General features: G+C 51.7%; 4 annotated features.

The window, feature by feature from the left end:
- Positions 3729-4230: an enhancer, noted in NCBI's record as "H3K4me1 hESC enhancer chr11:75254283-75254784 (GRCh37/hg19 assembly coordinates)". NCBI's record gives its function as "activates a minimal SCP1, AML or CMV promoter by ChIP-STARR-seq in naive H9 embryonic stem cells {active_cell/tissue: H9 hESC(naive)}" and the evidence as "EXISTENCE:reporter gene assay evidence [ECO:0000049][PMID:30033119]".
- Positions 13512-16198: an enhancer, noted in NCBI's record as "VISTA enhancer hs1748". NCBI's record gives its function as "enhancer in: heart[3/4]" and the evidence as "EXISTENCE:transgenic organism evidence [ECO:0001131][PMID:17130149]".
- Positions 14179-14926: an enhancer, noted in NCBI's record as "H3K27ac-H3K4me1 hESC enhancer chr11:75264733-75265480 (GRCh37/hg19 assembly coordinates)". NCBI's record gives its function as "activates a minimal SCP1, AML or CMV promoter by ChIP-STARR-seq in naive H9 embryonic stem cells {active_cell/tissue: H9 hESC(naive)}" and the evidence as "EXISTENCE:reporter gene assay evidence [ECO:0000049][PMID:30033119]".
- Positions 14983-15032: an enhancer, noted in NCBI's record as "active region_5271". NCBI's record gives its function as "activates an Ori minimal core promoter by ATAC-STARR-seq in GM12878 lymphoblastoid cells {active_cell/tissue: GM12878}" and the evidence as "EXISTENCE:reporter gene assay evidence [ECO:0000049][PMID:35858748]".

A 17125-nucleotide genomic window follows, 5' to 3' on the forward strand; every position in this document is an offset into this window, starting at 1 on the left:
TGGAGTTCATTGCTGATCGAGTCCACTCTCTCAGTGAATCAGGAAGCAAGGCAGTCAGCCACAGTGAGAGTGGGGAAGAGGCCTGGGAGATTGGAGGGCAGGGGGCAGCAGGAGAGCAGATGATTAGGGGTGTCTGGGATGACTGTGTGGAAAAGTGCAGGCACCTGGGGTCGGTGCACGTGATTAAGCAGCAGGCAGCCTGGAGAGCCTCCAGCCCAGGTCCCTTCACAGACCATGCGGGTTTCTTCCCTCTTGGGTAGCACTGGGCCAGGCAAGGCAGTGTGGATCTGCAGCTGACCAGGGGCTCAGAGGAAGGAGCATGCCTAGGAAGTCTCAGATTTCCAGGACTGGTTTACATATTTATGCAAAGCCACCTCCTCCCTGTTCCATATTGGAACAAAGTGTGTGTGTGGAGGGTAGCATTTAATAGGACCTCTTTGGACTGGTCTTACAATGCCCCCTATGTCAAGGGACCGTACTATGCCCACAGGGGCAGGTCCTGTCACCATCCCATCATTAGAGAACTGGGAACCCACCTCCCTGACATGGGCAGGGTGGGGCTGCCCTGTCTGTTTTTCATTGTCCTCCTGCTTTGGTTTCTGCTTTTTGGCAGAGGCTGCTTTTCCTAGATTACTTCCAACATCTGTTCACTTGCTTCTAGAATAAAACAGGATAAGTTTGATTCTGATATTTTCTTTTTCCCCAAGGCCATCTTCAGTGAAGGCCTGGACTCTCTCCAGGTGCCCTGCTAGTGCCTTCCTACTCTGGAGTCCGCTGCCTGTGGTGGGCTTTGGGCCCTGCCTGATGCCAGCCAAACGTCCTCCCGTCCCTGGATCCTCTCTTGCCTCCAGCTCCTGACTCCTAAGGACTCTTTATGCCCCAGAGCCTCCTTTGCTGAGCTGCCTGAGCTGAGGGCCCAGAACTACTGGCCTTCAGATTTGGGGTGGCACATGGTAAGTCCTGGGGCATTGTGATGGGCTGGCCAGGCCCATCCAGGGATATCCCTGCCTCTTACTTCCCAGTCAGTCCCAGCCCCATTCTTCCCTCCCCACACCCCACCAAGGTACACAGGATGCCCTGTGCTAGCTTCAGAGCTAGACCCTCACCTTTCACAGGCTGGGGAAAGGTCAGCAAATGTGAAAGGGAGAAAGAGTCACATTTTCTCTTTTCTTTTCTTTTTTTTTTTTTTTTTGAGACAGTCTCACTCTGTTGCCCAGGCTGGAGTGCAGTGGTGCCATTTCGGCTCACTGCAAGCTCCACCCCCTGGGTTTAAGTGATTCTCCTGCCTCAGCCTCCCAAGTAGCTGGGATTACAGGCGCACACCACCATGCCTGGCTAATTTTTGTATTTTTAGTAGAGACGGGGTTTCACCATTTTGGCCAGGGTAGTCTCGAACTCCTGACCTCAGGTGATCCCAAAGTGCTGGGATTACAGGCGTGAGCCACCGTGCCCAGCCCACATTTTCTGATCTCTTTTTTTTTTTTTTTTTTGAGATAGAATCTCACTCTGTCGCCCAGACTGGAGTGCAATGGCATGATCTCAGCTCACTGCAACCTCCATCTCTCAGGTTCAAGCAAGTCTCATACCTCAGCCTCTCAAGTAGCTGGGATTACAGGGATGTGCCACCACGCCCGGCTAATTTTTGTATTTTTAGTAGAGACGGGTTTTGCCATATTGCCCAGGCTGGTCTCGAACTCCTGGCATCAAGTGATCCGCTCACCTCAGCCTCCCACTATGCTAGGCACATGTGGCTCACACTTGGGCTAGTTCCCCAGTATCCATGCCCCCTTCTTCCATAGTAATAGCACTCCTGGTTTTTACCTGGACTTATGGTCTTTGGGAACAAAGAGCACATTTCACAGCTCTCTGTGGCCCCAGGACTAAATGGAATGTAAGCAGCATTGCTGTGTATGTCTTCTGGGAAATGCCCTTAGATAGACAGACATGCACTTTTTTTATTCTTCCATCTGCTGCCTGGGCTCCAGCTGCCATCTTGGTCATTGGAGGCAAGGGCCACACCCTTGGCATAGAGGAGTCATGAGTTGGCAGGAGCCTAAAATGCCAGAGGATTTAGCAAAGCAGGGTCCCCACACCACTCCTGGATCACCTATTCCCAGATCCTTACCTGAGTGAGAAACAAACCCTCTTGTTCAAGGCACTGTTATTGTAGGGTTATGTTATTCACAGCTGCTCCTAATCCTAGGGTGACACGTCACTTTTCATGAGTTATGTCATTTTCATCCTCACAACAGTCCTGCCAAGTGGATGTTACCTCATTTTTAGAGAGAGAAAAGGAGGCTCAATGATTTTATTTTCTATTTTAAATAAAAATTGACTTTCTTTAGTCTGTATTCTGCTGAAGCCTCAGTGATTTTAAGCAAGTGGTCCAAGGCCACCCAGCCAGTATGATGCCGAAGTGGGCTGAAGCCCTGGTTGCTCTGATTCCTGGGCCCTGCTCTCTCTGATTCCTGGGCCCTGCTCTCTCTGATTCCTGGGCCCTGCTCTCTCTGATTCCTGGGCCCTGCTCTCTCTGATTCCTGGGCCCTGCTCTCTCTGATTCCTGGGCCCTGCTCTCTCTGATTCCTGGGCCCTGCTCTCTCTCTCTGATTCCTGGGCCCTGCTCTCTCTGATTGATTCCTGGGCCCTGCTCTCTCTCTCTGATTCCTGGGCCCTGCTCTCTCTGATTGATTCCTGGGCCCTGCTCTGTGAGCCCTTGGGGTCACACCCAGGCTGACCTCCCTGTGTGTACAGACCCAGGTTGATGAACACCCTGTGGTCTTCCCAGGCTTCATCTGGGTCCAGAAGCATCTACTGAGCAGGTGGAACTGTTGCAGGGTCAGAGATGTTGCAGGGTGACCCCATTCTGTCCCTGTTTTAGCAGTGAAAGTCGCACATCCCTCATTCCTGGGCAAATCAAGACAGTCACCCTAGAGCTGTGGTCCAGCCAGGTCCTGTTGCTGCCCCTTTGGGCACCCAGAACCTGATCCCTCACAACCTGCTGTTTTCCAGGCATTTGTGCACCACCTCCCAATCCTTGGGATCCTCCAGGCTGTGGTTAGAGGCTGGGACAGGGGTTAAGGTACTATGAAAATGAGGCTCAGGCTGGGCGCAGTGGCTCACGCCTGTAATCCCAGCAACTTGGGAAACCAAAGCAGGGGGATGGCTTAAGGCCAGCAGTTTGGGACCAGCCTGAGCAACATAACAAGAATTGTCTTTACAAAAAAAAAAAAAGCTACCCAGGCATGGTGGCAGGCACCAGTAGCCCCGGCTACTGAGGAGGCTGAGGCAGGAAGACAGGAAGATCACTTGACCCTGGGAGTTTGAGGCTGCAGCGAGCTATGATCGTGCCACTGCACTCCAGCCTCGGTTGCAGAGTGAGACCTCGTCTCTTAAAAAAAAAATTAGGCTCATCAATGCCAGCAAGAAGTAACAGCCCAAATCAAGTAAGACCTTGATTTGTCTTTACAATGGCCTCGAAAGACAGCAGCCCCCACGTTCATTTTGACTCTCCATTGTCCCCTGACTCTCTGTATATCCTGTGACCTCATGATAACAGAGTCCCTGCCTGCTGGTGAAATGGGAAAGCTTCCCTTGAGCCCCTTGCAGGGCGTGCGATGCGGGTATGACTTGCTTCTTCAGTGCCTCGCTTCTTTAACCTCTAGAGCAGGTTGTGGGGCTCCGGGCCCACAGCAGCGTCTAGGGGTGGATGATTACAGCTCCTGAAGCCCCAGCAGGCATGTGCTACTGTGTGCTTTTAGTTTTGCCGTCTATAGGCAGCTTGTGTTAACCAGCTCAATTAGACCCTCTACCTTGTTGCGAGGACAGAGGACTTTCTGTATCCCGGGTTCTTGCCTTGGTGTTCTGAAGAATCGGATCACACCTGAGCTCAGAGAATGAGTGCAAGGTTTTATGGAGTGGAGGTAGCTCTCAGCAGATGGGGGAGCCAGAAGGGACGGAGTGGGAAGGTTTTCCCCTGGAGTTGACCGCTCAGTGGCCTGGGCTCTTTTCCGACTGCCCCAGCCAAACTCCACCAGGTTCCCCCGGTTGATGGCCTGCCGGCCTGCTGGCTCTGTGGGTGTGCTCCTTCTGCCGGCATGCTCCAACGTCCTCTTGACACCCAGCTGCTCGTGTCTTCTTCTGCTGATGTGTTCTCCTCAACATCCAGCCACTTGTGTCTCTGCCTGCTAGGGTTTCGGGGTTTTTATAGGCACAGTATGGGGGGCGTAGCAGGCCAGGGTGGTCTTGGGAAATGCAACATTTGGGTGTGAAGTCAGGAGTGCCTATCCTCACCTAGGTCTATAGGCACAGGCCCTGGGGTGGAGCCCTAGCCAGGGGCCACTCCCACCTCTACCCAGCACTTCCCCGCCCACTTTCATATCACTGGGGCCTGAGGCGATCAGGCTGATCTGCTAGCGCTACTCATCCCTGCCTTCATCTAGGAACCGGGCAGGCATGGTGGAGCCCCAACACACTGCAGCATGAGGCCACTGCACTCAGAAAGGCTTGTGTCACATCCTAGCTCTTCTACCCTTCACCCATGTGACCTTGGCCCGGTGATTTCACCTTTTGAGACTTAGTCTTCTCATCTATAAAATGGGGATAATAATACCTGCCTCACAAGGCTATAGCAAGGATTAATGAGATCATACACCGTGAAGTTTGGCTCTGGACCTGGAATACAGTTAACACTTGATAAAGATTGTCATTGTTGTCACTGTATCACCACTCCTCTGTGCCAGGCAGCTCTCATGCTGGATACCAGGGACCCTGCGATACACCAGAGCCATTCAGGAACTCCTTAAGGAACTCAGAATCTGATGAGGAGATGTGCCACAAAGACAATTTAAACAAATAATAGATGATGGCTCACACCTGTAATCCCAGCACTTTGGGAGGCCGAGGTCGGAAGCTCTCCTGAGGCCAGGGGGTTCAAGACCAGACTGGTCAAGGTAGCAAGACCCCATCTCTATAAAAAAATAAAATAATAATAATAATTGTTTTAATGGGGGAGTGAACAAGGTAGGGTGGGAACACCGGGAGGAGGGGATTGCCACAGAGCAGTCAGGGAGGTTGTCCTGGAGGAGGCAGAGCTTGCGTGGGGGCTCACAGAGGATCACCTTTTGCCAGGTGAAGCTGGGGGCTAGTGGAATGAAGCATGTTGCAACTCCCTAAGTCTAGGATTCTCTAGTTGTGCACTTGAGGTGAAGATGAGGCTCTTCCTGTTGGCTGGAGTCTCAGCAGAGGCTCTAGAAGCTGAGGGGCCCAAGCACCTCACATCCTCCATGGGGAGTTAGACCATCTTGCAGCACAAGCAGAGGGTGCCCTCCCAGGCCTGCCCCACCAAGCCCACCCAACACCCACCCATGTTAAAGCCTTTTTTTGGAGAAAATTGTTATTTTGCTCTGAGCTTCCCTCCCTTCTTTAAACCAAGTGCGGAGGGCTTCAAGACGTTGGGGGACATGGGAACCTGAATTGTCCTCACATATCACAGAGTCTAAAGGCAGTGTGTGGTGGTGGAATGGGGAGAGCCAGGGCCACCCTGGGAATGGCTCATGCTGCCAGGCTAGGCAAAGGATATCTGATTTTTCCAGTGGACCGGATGAGGGCCTGTGGAGGGAGCTGGAGGCGGGTGGGGTGAGGACCTCCCAACAGAGGGTACTGCTGGAACTGATGTCTGAGGGGAGAGGTTGCAAACCAGAGGGGGCATTGTTCCTTTGGGTGGGGGTGGCAGGGGTGGGGGGGATCTAGATGAGAGGTCCCCAGGGGAGGAGGTTCACTGAAAAACCTCCTGGAGAATCCTGTGAGTTAGAGTAGAATTTGGACATCTACCATGTCTCAGAGGGTCCCCAGGCCAGGTTACAACTGTATCAGGCAAGGAGGGCCTGATCTGCTCTCTCTCCCACTCTATAGACAGATGGTCATGGAGATGCTGGGTGAGGTGGCTCACACCTGTAATCCCAGCATTTTGGGAGGCCAAGGCGGGTGGATCACCTGAGGTCAGGAGTTCGAGACCAGCCTGGTCAACATGGTGAAAACCTGTCTCTACTAAAAATACAAAAAATTAGCTGGGTGTGGTGGTGGGCACCTGTAATCCCAGCTTCTCAGGAGGCTGAGGCAGGAGAATCACTTGAACCCAGGAGTCGGAGGCTGCAGTGAGCTGAGATCGCGCCACTGCACTGAGGGAGACCAGAGGCAGTCGCTGCCCTCTCTGAGTCTCTAGTTTCTGAGGCAAGCCCACCCCCAGAGAAGAGTCTTATTCTACATTGGATGAGATTTTGCAGTTTTAATATTACTTTTTGGTTTTATTACTTTGAACTATACTTTAAAAAAATTAATGATGGACAATTTCAAACATACCCAAAATTAGAGAGATGAGTCTAATGACCCCATCACGTACCCATCATTCAGCCTCAGCAATAGTGGGTCATACCAATCCTGTTTCCTCTGTGCCCCAACCTACTTCTCCCAGTGTAATTTGGAATCAAATCTTCGAGAAAGAAAAGAATGACTTCCTCCTTGCTTCTGAAAAATTAAAAATAAGAAGAGCCACTGCCCTCCACTGTTTGATTAGAACACTAAGGTTAGGGCATAAACCCGAGATTAAAGCTGGCAGGATCCATGGAACCATCCCAAGGACGGTGGGGTTGGTATATGTGTCCTTCACCATCCAGCTCCCACCACTCTGAACAGTGCTCGGCACATAGTAAGTGCTCAACAGATCATTCTGGTGCTTCTCCTCCACTTGCTCCTCTGTAGCCTTCCCAGGCAGCGGCTTTTCCTCTGTCAGGCATGAGCTGGGGCGGATACTCAGCTCTTCATCCGAGGCTGCAGGCTGGTTCTGCCCACAGCAATCCCATCCCAGGCTTGGCCAAGAGGAGAATTACTTTGCAGAATACAAGACATAATGAGGAAAAGCATCTACTTCAGTGCTCTGTAATGGTAGCCACTGGTTATCATAAAAGCAGTGGTGGCCAGGCGTGGTGGCTCACGCCTGTAATCCTAGCACTTTGGGAGGCCGAGGCGGGTGGATCACTTGAGGTCAGGAGTTCGAGACCACCCTGGGCAACTGGTGAAACCCTGTCTCTATTAAAAATACAAAAATTAGCCGGGTGTTGTGGAACACACCTGTAATCCCAGCTACTTGGGAGGCTAAGGCAGGATAATTGGTTGAATCCAGGAGTTGGAGGTTGCAGTGAGCTGTGATTGCACCACTGTACTCCTGCCTGGGTGACAGAGGGAGACTGTCTCAAAAAAAAAATTAAAAAAATAAATAAAAGTGGGAAGGAGACATCCAGAGAAAAGTTTGGGGGCAGGAGGGTGGCATATGGGCAGACATTTTCGGAACTTCACCGTCCTGTGTGGAAGGTGGCATAGAAGGGGTGAGAACAGAGGCAGCAAGATAGTGAGGAGACAGGAGCCACAATCGGAGAAGGATGAAGGTTTGACCCACCTGGGAAGGGAACCCCCAGCACGTGGCAGAGGGAGGAGCTGAGAATCCTTAGAGGCACATCTCTAAGGTGCCAGAGGTCCCACTCCGCCTGCCTTTGAGCTCCGGATCCTGAATGCCCCCAGGGAGGCTTTGTAAAGATCCTTCCTAGGACTGGCTACATTTTGCAGGACCCATTGCCAAATGAAAATGCAGGGCTCCTAGTAAAAAAGATTACTAAGAATTTCAAGATGGCGACAGCAGAGTACTGAAATAAGAACAGGGTTCTTTGCACAGGGCTGCTGATACAGAAAGAGAACATAGGACATCCAGTTAAAGTTGAATTTCACATAAACAATGAATTTTTTATTTTTATTTTTTAGTTTGTCTGTCTTGTGCAATACTTGCAATAACATGTTTCTGTTGATCTGAAATTCAAATTTAACTGGGAATCCTGTATTGTACCTGGCAACTCCACCAGGTGGGTCCTGTTTCCTCCCTTAACTGGAGCTCCTGGGAGTGGTTCAGGCTTAGGGTTCTTCCAGGATAATGGTTTTCAAACTTCAGCCTGCATCAGAAACATCTGGAGGGCTTGGTAAAATCCAGATTGCTTCCCCCCAGCCAGAGTTTCTGATTCATGCCTAGAGTACAGCCCAAGAATTTTCATTTCTGACAGGTACCAAGGTGATGCTGATACAATTGGTCCTGGGACCACACTCTGAGAACCACTGCTGGGGTACATCACCCTAGGAAGCCCCTCAAAGAGATAGAAAATCATAGTGACCCAAAACGGACACCAGAGGGCAGAAGCGCCCACTGGTCAGGCTATAGGACCTGCCCACTGGCCTGGGGCTGGGCTTACACCTTTGCTGAACATTTGTTCTGTGCCTGACCACGTCCAGGGCCCTGGAGCAGACAAAGAAAGACGTGGGTCAGCATTAGTCTCTGCCCTGAGGGGCTCAGGGTGTGGAAAGGGAGACAGATGTACGAAGTGAGAATTACAATTGGTGCTGAGATGGGGGAAGCACAGGCTGTGGGAGCCCAGGGGAGGCTGGGGGTGGTCAGGGCCCGCTTCCTGTAGGAGCCTGAACAGAGGGTAGGAGCCATCCATACCGGGAGAAGGGGAGGAGGGGCTTTCTGGGCATAAGAATACACAAGTACAAGGGCGCACACTGGACAGTGCCAGGGACTGCTTGAGGAGGAGTGCAGAGGTAGAGGACAGAATCGGTGGGCGGGTAGCCTGGTGAGGCTGGGGCTTGGCAGATCCTGAGGGTCTCAGGGAGCCCCAGGAGGGTTTTAACTAGATGGTGTGTTAGAATGAAGAGTGTCTGGGAAGAGATACCAGAGGCAGGGAGGCCTAGTGAGCAGGAGGGTGCAGTGGTCAAGGGAGGAGGTGACCAGGGGATGCAAGGGTGGCCCAGTCTCTCTCATCTGTTCCTTCATTCCTCCATTCATTGCACGTGTGTATGGAGCAACTTCTCTGAGCCAGGCCCTGGGTTGGGTGCTGGCTGCCGGCTGCTGGGACTTGGCATTGATGAAGACAGTTCCTGGCTTATGTGGAGAGCTCACATTTTAACTGAGAAGACCACCATCCAACAGCCAACCTCACAGTGAGCCAGCTAGTTACAGTTGTGGTCCCTGAGGGATGGGTACCAGAGATATCAAGGGAGCCACATGGCAGGGTCTGGGCAGAGTTGGGGTTAGGGTGGGGGTAGGAGGCATCTCTCAAGAGAGACCCTGACCTGGGCATCCTGACCTAGCGAACAGATGCCTCATTCAGCCCTACCCTGGTGCCTCCGTGCCGCAGCCCAGAGCTAACAATATGGCCATTGACAGCTCCTGCCACTGCCTGAGGTCTAGCTTTGCTGCCCCCATCCATCCTTAGCCACACAATCCTGGCCTTCAGTGGGGAAGAAAGAGCAGGATTATACTCAGGTACTAGGGACTGGGCCCACCCCTCCACCAGAGTCAGCCTGGCCCCAGCCCAGGTGAGTGCCCAGCCAGGCACCTTCCTCAAATGTCCAGTGCTCTTGCTCTAAGCATGTGAAGAGTCCGGCAGCTAGAAGCAGAAGGATGCAGGAGATGACCTGAAATGCCAAGGGGATGCCGTAGACTCGCAGGGCTCCTGGACGCACACTGTAGAACATTTGTCCATAGAGATGGGATTGGCCTCACGAATGACATAGATGCAAATCAAGCTAACTGGAGCATTACTTCTAGAAGGCTGACCTTCTTGCTATTCCTAGAGCATGCCTAGTTCATTCTAACTGTGGGGCCTTTGCCCATGCAGCTCCCTCTGCTTGGGATCCCCTCCTCCCACCATAAAGGTCTCCCTCCTCCTTTGGTCGGAGGAAGAATGGCTCCCCAAAGACATCCATGTCCGAATTCCTGGAACCTGTGAGTGCATTACCTTGCATGGGACAAGGGACTTTGCACATGAGATTAAATTACAGATCTTGAGATAGGGAGACTTTACTGGTGGCCCAGTGTCATCAGGGAGGTCCATCTCAAGAGGGAGGCAGAGGGGTCAGAGTCAGAGAAACAGATGTGATGAGGGAAGGAGAAAGCAGAGAGAGAGGGAGATTGGCGCTGCCACACTGCTGGCTTTGAAGGTAGAGGCAGGGGCCACAAGTCAAGGAATGCGGGTGGCTTCTAGAAGCTGGAAAGAGCAAGGAAGCAGATTCATCCCCAGAGTCTTTAGAAGGAGTTGCTAGCCCATTTAAGTCTTCTGACCTCAAAACCATAAAAGAATAAATTTATATCATTTGAAGCCACTAAGTGTGTGGTACTAGATACAGCAGCCACCGGAAATGATTACAGCTTCTTATTCAGATTTCAGGCTGCCTGGTGTAAAGTAGTCTTACCCACAACACCTGTTTTCATTTCTTGCTAGCCCTCATTATTACTGGAAATGATCACATTTCTTTCTTAGTTTATTGCGTGTCTCCACTCGCCAGCACACCAGGCTCCTGGAGGGCAAAGATCTGGTTTTGCCCACTTTTTTATCCCAGTACCTAGAACAGTGCCTAGTAAATTGTGGGTTCTCAATAAATCTTTGCTACGTGAGACTGGGAACGGTAGCTCACGCCTATAATTCCAGCACTTTGGGAGGCTGAGGCAGGCAGATCACCTGAGGTCAGGAGTTCGAGACCATCCAGGCCAACATGGTGAAACCCTGTCTCTACTAAAAATACAAAAATTAGCCGGGCGTGGTGGTGCATACCTGGAATCCCAGCTACTTGGGAGGCTGAGGCAGGAGAATCGCTTGAACCCGGGAGCCAGAGGTTGCAGTGAGCCAAGATCCCAACCGCTGCACTCCAGAGTGAGACTGTGTCTCAACAACAACAAATCTTTGCTGGGCACGGTGGCTCACGCCTGTAATCCCAGCACTTTGGGAGGCTGAGGCGGATGGATCACGAGGTCAGGAGTTCAAGACCAGCCTGGCCAAGATGGTGAAACCCCATCTCTACTAAAAATACAAAAATTAGCTGGGTGTGGTGGTCAGCGCTTGTAATCCCAGCTACTCGGAAGGCTGAGAATTGCTTGAATCTGGGAGGCAGAGGTTGCAGTGAGCCGAGATCATGCCACTGCACTCCAGCCTGGGCGACAGAGCGAGACTCTATCTCAAAAAAAAACTTTGTTGCATGAAAGGAAGAATGAAGAAGTAAAGGACTTCCTCTGACTCTCTCTTATGTGCACTGAGGGCAGGGAAGGGGGGTGCCTTGGCTGGTGGAGGGAGGCCTCAGAACCATGAGAATGGAGTGAGGCCTGGAGGGCTGCAGAGATCTGTGGGAACTGCAGAATTTGGGCACATGCTGTCCAGTTTACAGGCCACTTCCAACCCAGGGTCTTTTTGTTGTTGTTGTTCCTCGGAACTACCTGGAAGAGGAAGACAGGCTTGAAAGGAACCATGGCTCTCACTTTGCAGGTGGGCATCTAGGTTCTGGATGGTGGTTTGAGGGTTAGGGAGACACTGCCTCTCCAGCAAGGGTCAGTGGGACCTGAGAGGGGCCTGAAGGCCCTGCCTGCTCCCCAGAGCCTTCCCGGCACCTCATGTGCCAGTTCTCCTTGGCACTTGGGCTGCCAGCCTTTGCCCCTGCTCTTCCCCCTGCCAGGGTGTCTTTCCTCTCCTTGCCTTCTTCCAGGGCTGGGACTAGGGTGAGACAAGTGAAAACTAAAAGGAGCACCAGAAATCTCAGTAATCAGGATTAATCATATTTTCATGTAATTATTGTTATTATTATTATTTTTGAGATGGAGTCTCACTTTGTCGCCCAGGCTAGAGTACAGTGGCGTGATCTTGGCTCACTGCAAGCTCCGCCTCCTGGGTTCATGCCATTCTCCTGCCTCAGCCTCCCCAGTAGCTGGGACTACAAACACCCGCCACCATGCCTGGCTAATTTTTTGTATTTTTAGTAGAGACGGGGTTTCGCCGTGTTAGCCAGGATGGTCTCTATCTCCTGACCTCATGATCTGCCCTCCTCGGCCTCCCAAAGTGCTGGGATTACAGGCATGAGCCACCATGCCCGGCCTCTTGTAATATTTTTTAAAAATCAAAACAAATGCAAAAAATCCATGATGAACAAAATATCACATTTTAAATAAGGACTTTTTTATTTTTCCTTTTGTCTCAGGCTCCAATATGGCTTGACACAGTCCATGCTACTAATCCTGTCTGAGACTGGCAATGTAATTTGTGAGGCCTTTTCTTCAAAAATTATTATTATTTGTTGCCCAGGCTGGAGTGCAGTGGTGTGACCTCGGCTCACTGCAACCTCCACTTCCTGGGTTCAAGCAATTCTCCTGCCTCAGCCTCCCGAATAGCTGGGATTACAGGCACATGCCACCATGCCCAGCTATTTTTTTGTATTTTTAGTAAAGATGGGGTTTCACCATGTTGGCCAGGCTGGTCTCGAACTCCTGACCTCAAATGATCCACCTGCCTCGGCCTCCCAAAGTGCTGGGATTACAGGCATGAGTTACCGCGCCCAGCCTCAAAAATTATTAAGAATTGCAGCGGCAATTAGCCGGGTGTGGTGGCGTGGCTCCTGTAATCCCAGCTACTCGGGAGGCTGAGGCAGGAGAATCGCTTGAACCCAGGAGTCGGAGGTTGCAGTGTGCATTCCAGCCTGGGCAACAGAGTGAGACTCTGTCTCAAAAAAAAAAAAAAATTGCAGCGGCTGGGTAGTGGCTCAAGCCTGTAATCCTGGCACTTAGAGAGGCCGACGTGGAAGGATCGCTTAAGCCCAGGAGTTCAAGACCAGCCTGGGCAATAGAGAGACCCTGTCACTACAAAAAATACAAAAATAAGGCCAGGCACGGTGGCTCATGCCTGTTATCCCAGCACTTTGGGAGGCTGAGGCAGGTGGATCACAAGGTCAGGAGATCGAGACCATCCTGGCTAACATGGTGAAACCCTGTCTCTACTAAAAATACACAAAAAAATTAGCCAGGCGTGGTGGCAGGCACCTGTAGTCCCAGCTACTGGGGAGGCTGAGGCAGGAGAATGGCATGAACCCGGGAGGCGGAGCTTGCAGTGAGCTGAGATCACGCCACTGCACTCCAGCCTGGGCGACTGAGCAAGACTCCGTCTCAAAAAAAAAAAAAATAAATAAAAAATAAAAATAAAAAAAGAATTGCAGAATGTCAGTAGTAACCATCAAATCACTTGGGAGGGTCTGTGAGACTGCACAGGCTGTACACCCATGAGGTTGGCCCTGATCCTGTTTTTATTTAAAATTGTGATATTTTGTTACTCATAGAATTTTTGCATTGATTTAGATTTTTTGAAATATTGCATGAAACATGATTTACTTTGATGACTGAGGTTTTCGGTGCTCTCATTAATTGTGCCCCCAAGGCAAGTGCCTCACTTGCCTCACCCTATTCCCAGTCTTCTCTGCTTGGTGTGCACTTCTCAACCTTAGGTAGCCTCCTCCAAGAAGTCTTCCCTGACCCCTGATCCCACACTGGATTGGTACTTCTGGGCTCCTTCTGGCTGGGCTACAGTCCCAGAGCTCCTCTGCTTCCTCCCCTCCGTCCCATTCCTGAGCACCTGGTGTGAGTCCCATTGTTTAAGGGAGTAGATTTGGTTTGCTTCTGTGTTCCAGAAGAGGGCCTGGCTCGGAACAGTTGCTCAGGAAAAGTGGGTTTTGAGAGAAAATGAGTGGTCTGCCAGTGCTTGGAATTTTATGTCAACACGATGTCTTTGGGTCAAGCCCTTCTGTCTCCAGAAGTTCCTTGGTAAAACCTCTATGGGGTAATCCTTGGGCAAGACTCTATCTCTGAAAATGCCCAGTGGTGGCAGAGCCAGCTCTGTGGGCACTAGACCTCCTCATCCCCCGCCCCACCACCCATGGGCACCATGGCAGAGCCAGCCTCACCTTAGGTGGCAGGGCAGAAACCTGGCATGGGTGTGGGGCTGGGCCAGTCCTGTGGACCTGTGATGCTGGCCTGTTGTTGACCCGCTTGCTCCTGCACAAACCGTGCCAAGCTCCATCTTCAGGCCAAGCCCTGTAGTTCCTCACCTCAGGGACTCACAGCCTTGCTCCAATAACCTGGGTCCCTGCCTTGTTCGGGGGACCAGACTTGGTGTCTAGATTTGTGTCCGGGACAGAACCTTTCTAGTACTCAGCACCACCATCGTTAGTCTTCTAGGTACCCTGTGTCAGGGAGCTGGAGGAAGATGCCTATGAATTCCTGAGCCTCAGCATATGCTCTGATCAGTCCTTTACCCCAACTATGTCCCAGGACTCCCTCAAGCCTGGCCAGTGTTTATCCAGCTCTCCCTTCTTCATTGTTCTAACAATTTAAAGCCTCTGCCTGGGGCCTGGGCAGGGTTAACAAAGTAATCAACTTTAGGCAGTGCCCAAAATGTGAGTGGCTCCCAGAGTCCTTGGCGACACTGACGCCAGCACAAACCTTCTGACACCCTTGCAGGTATGGCCCAGTGGCTGCTGTGGACAGAATCCCAGGCCCCAAGCAAGGAGAGCTAGCTTCAAACCCAGCTCTATAATCTCTGCTTGTTTGGGGCTCAGTTTCATCATCTGCAAAATGGGGAGAAAATGCCTACCTCATAGCAGGGTGATGGGAATTAATGGAAAATGCAGGAGCTCCTGGCACACCACAGGCACTGGGAAATGCTAGCTCCCTTTCTCCTGTGCTTGCTTTTGGTGTGAAGACCAGTCAGCTGTGCTCCCTGGGGACTCCCTTCCCGCTCCAGCTCCCAGCCTCTGAGTTCTTTTTCACAACTCTCTGTGCCAACTCAAGAGATGGGGAAACTGAGGCTCAGAGGGATCAGGGACTTGCTGAAAGTCAGGTGTAGAGTCAGAGGCTGAGCACAGGCTGGAATCTAGGAGCTGGGGCTCGGCCAGAGGTCTGGGCTTGGCAGGTGGCCAGCTCCTCCCCTCCCGTGTTTCCCCATCTGGCCCTGGGAATGCTGAGCCTGTGAAGCACAGCTGTATATATAGCATCAGCTATGGGCTCCTCCCCCATCACACACACATGGGCACACAGACACACACAGACCCAGCCAACAGCGCTGGGTGCTTCCATGAAAGGCGTGTTTCCCTCCTGAGTCAGAGCAGACCCCGAACAGACAGCCTTTGGGCCTGGCTGGGCTGCAGTCCCAGAGCTCTAGGCGGCCCTGAGAGCCAGCCCCCTCCCTGCTGGAACCTCTGGGCAGCAGCCAGCACAGCTGCATCCCCTCAGCAAGGCCTGCAACGATAGGCCCACGTTGCATCAGCTCGGCCTGTCTCTGGGCCTGCTCCGGCCCCAACAGCCAATGGGGCCCGGCCGAGTGTACAGACCCCAGCACTGGTCCAGCCCACCCCACCACCATCACCGTGCGGCCGCCTGGTCCTCCTTCGCTCTGGGCTAGGAGGAGGGCACCGCTGCTCCATCGCCTGTGGCATGGCCCTCTCTCTGTGCCCCTGCCCCCACCAGTGGCTCTGCCAGCTCAGCCTTGGTTTCCCTTCCGGGAGGTAGCAGGGTCACCCCTTGGCCTGGCGTGGGCCCATTTCTCCACAGCCTCTGTTCTCCTCAGGCTCTGTGCTTGCTCTGATCCGCATCTTTCACCTGTGGCATCTTTCAGTTACTCTCCTATAACCATGATTCACAAATTGTCATCTTTGGACAGGCCTTCTCTCCTGACAGAATTACGGACATTACAGCCTCCTGATGTCTCCAGTCTATGGAGCCCACCAGCTTCCCCCAGAGCTCACTGCCTTCCCCCAGAGTCTCCATTGCAGGAAAGGGACCATTTGCCACTTGTTCACCAGGCCAGACACCAGAGAGTCCTCCTTCCCCCTTCTCCCAGGCCCTCCGTGCCCAACCCACCGCCACTGGGCCCTCTCCAGCCCGAGGCCCCTGCCTGGTCTGGGCACCAGCATCTCTCTCCAGGTTACCGAGCCATTCTCTCCTCTGGCCTCCCTCTCTCGCTCTCCATGCAGCAGGCAGAGAATGCAAAAACGCAGGGTGACCTGTCACCAACTTCCACAGCTTTAGTCACACGTACCCCCCTCCCATGGTGGCCTCTGTGGGGTCTCGTGCCTACCCTCCCCTGGCTGCGTCCCATGAAATCTTGCCAGGATTTGGCTCTTTAGCCTGAGGCCTAAAGCCAGCAGGTCTGGGCTGGTGGGAAATGCCAGACCTGGCCAGAGGAGCCACAGCCCCAGCCTCCCACCTTCCCCAGGGTTGCAGCGCAGTATCTCTGAGCCCCAGGCTCAGCACCACCACTTCCCCAGCCACCCTCGGACAAGCCCCCTTCAGGCTGGAGCTTGATACCCTTCTGGGTGTTTCTTTTCTATTCACTTGGTTGATTTTTTTTTTTTTTTGGCTGACTATAAAAGTAATATATGCTATTGAAAACAATTCAGAAAAGCAGAGAAAAGAAAATAAAGATATATATATTCTATCTCCAAAGATAAACACTATTAAACGATGTAAGAGTATTTCTTTCTAGCCTTTCTCTATGAATATTTTATATACCTATGTATTTTGTATTAATACATATACTATACATTCATTCAATAAAAAACCCATGCTGGGCGCAGTGGCTCACACCTGTCATCCCAGCAGTTTGGGAGGCCAAGGCGGGAGGATCGCTTGAGCCTTTGGAGTCCAAGACCAGCCTGGGCAACATGGGGAGACCCTGTCTCTACAAAATTAAAACATTAGCCACGGTTGGTGGCGTACACCTGTGGTCCCAGCTACTTGGGAGGATGGCTTGAGCCCATGACATCTAGGCTGCAGTGAGCCATGTTTGCACCACTGCACTCCAGCCTGGGCGACAGAGTGAGATTCTGTTTCTAAATAAATAAAAAATAAATAACCCCAAATCTTTTAATAGCAGAAACTTTTAAAAAATTAAGTGAAAATCACCCCAAAACCAGCATTAACTTTTTGGTGAAATGTGAACATTCTTCCAGATATCTGCAGCTCTCCCGTGGAATTTTCATCAACAGGCTGTTTCATAAACGGCTTTATTTTTTATCCAACAATCCACCAAGCGATCTTTCTGTGCCTGGGGATTACAACAAGCTTTCCCCTTTTTGACATCTGCAAATACTTCATCCCTTATTGACCTTCTCTCCAATTTTTTGTTATTACAGACAAGGCTCTGAAGAACATCCTTCTGCATATATCTATGCTCATATTTTTAAACATCATTTCCTTAAGTGAAATTTCTAAAAATTGATT

This window comes from Homo sapiens, chromosome 11 (assembly GCF_000001405.40).
Source record: "Homo sapiens chromosome 11, GRCh38.p14 Primary Assembly".
Classification (NCBI taxonomy): Eukaryota; Metazoa; Chordata; class Mammalia; order Primates; family Hominidae; genus Homo; species Homo sapiens.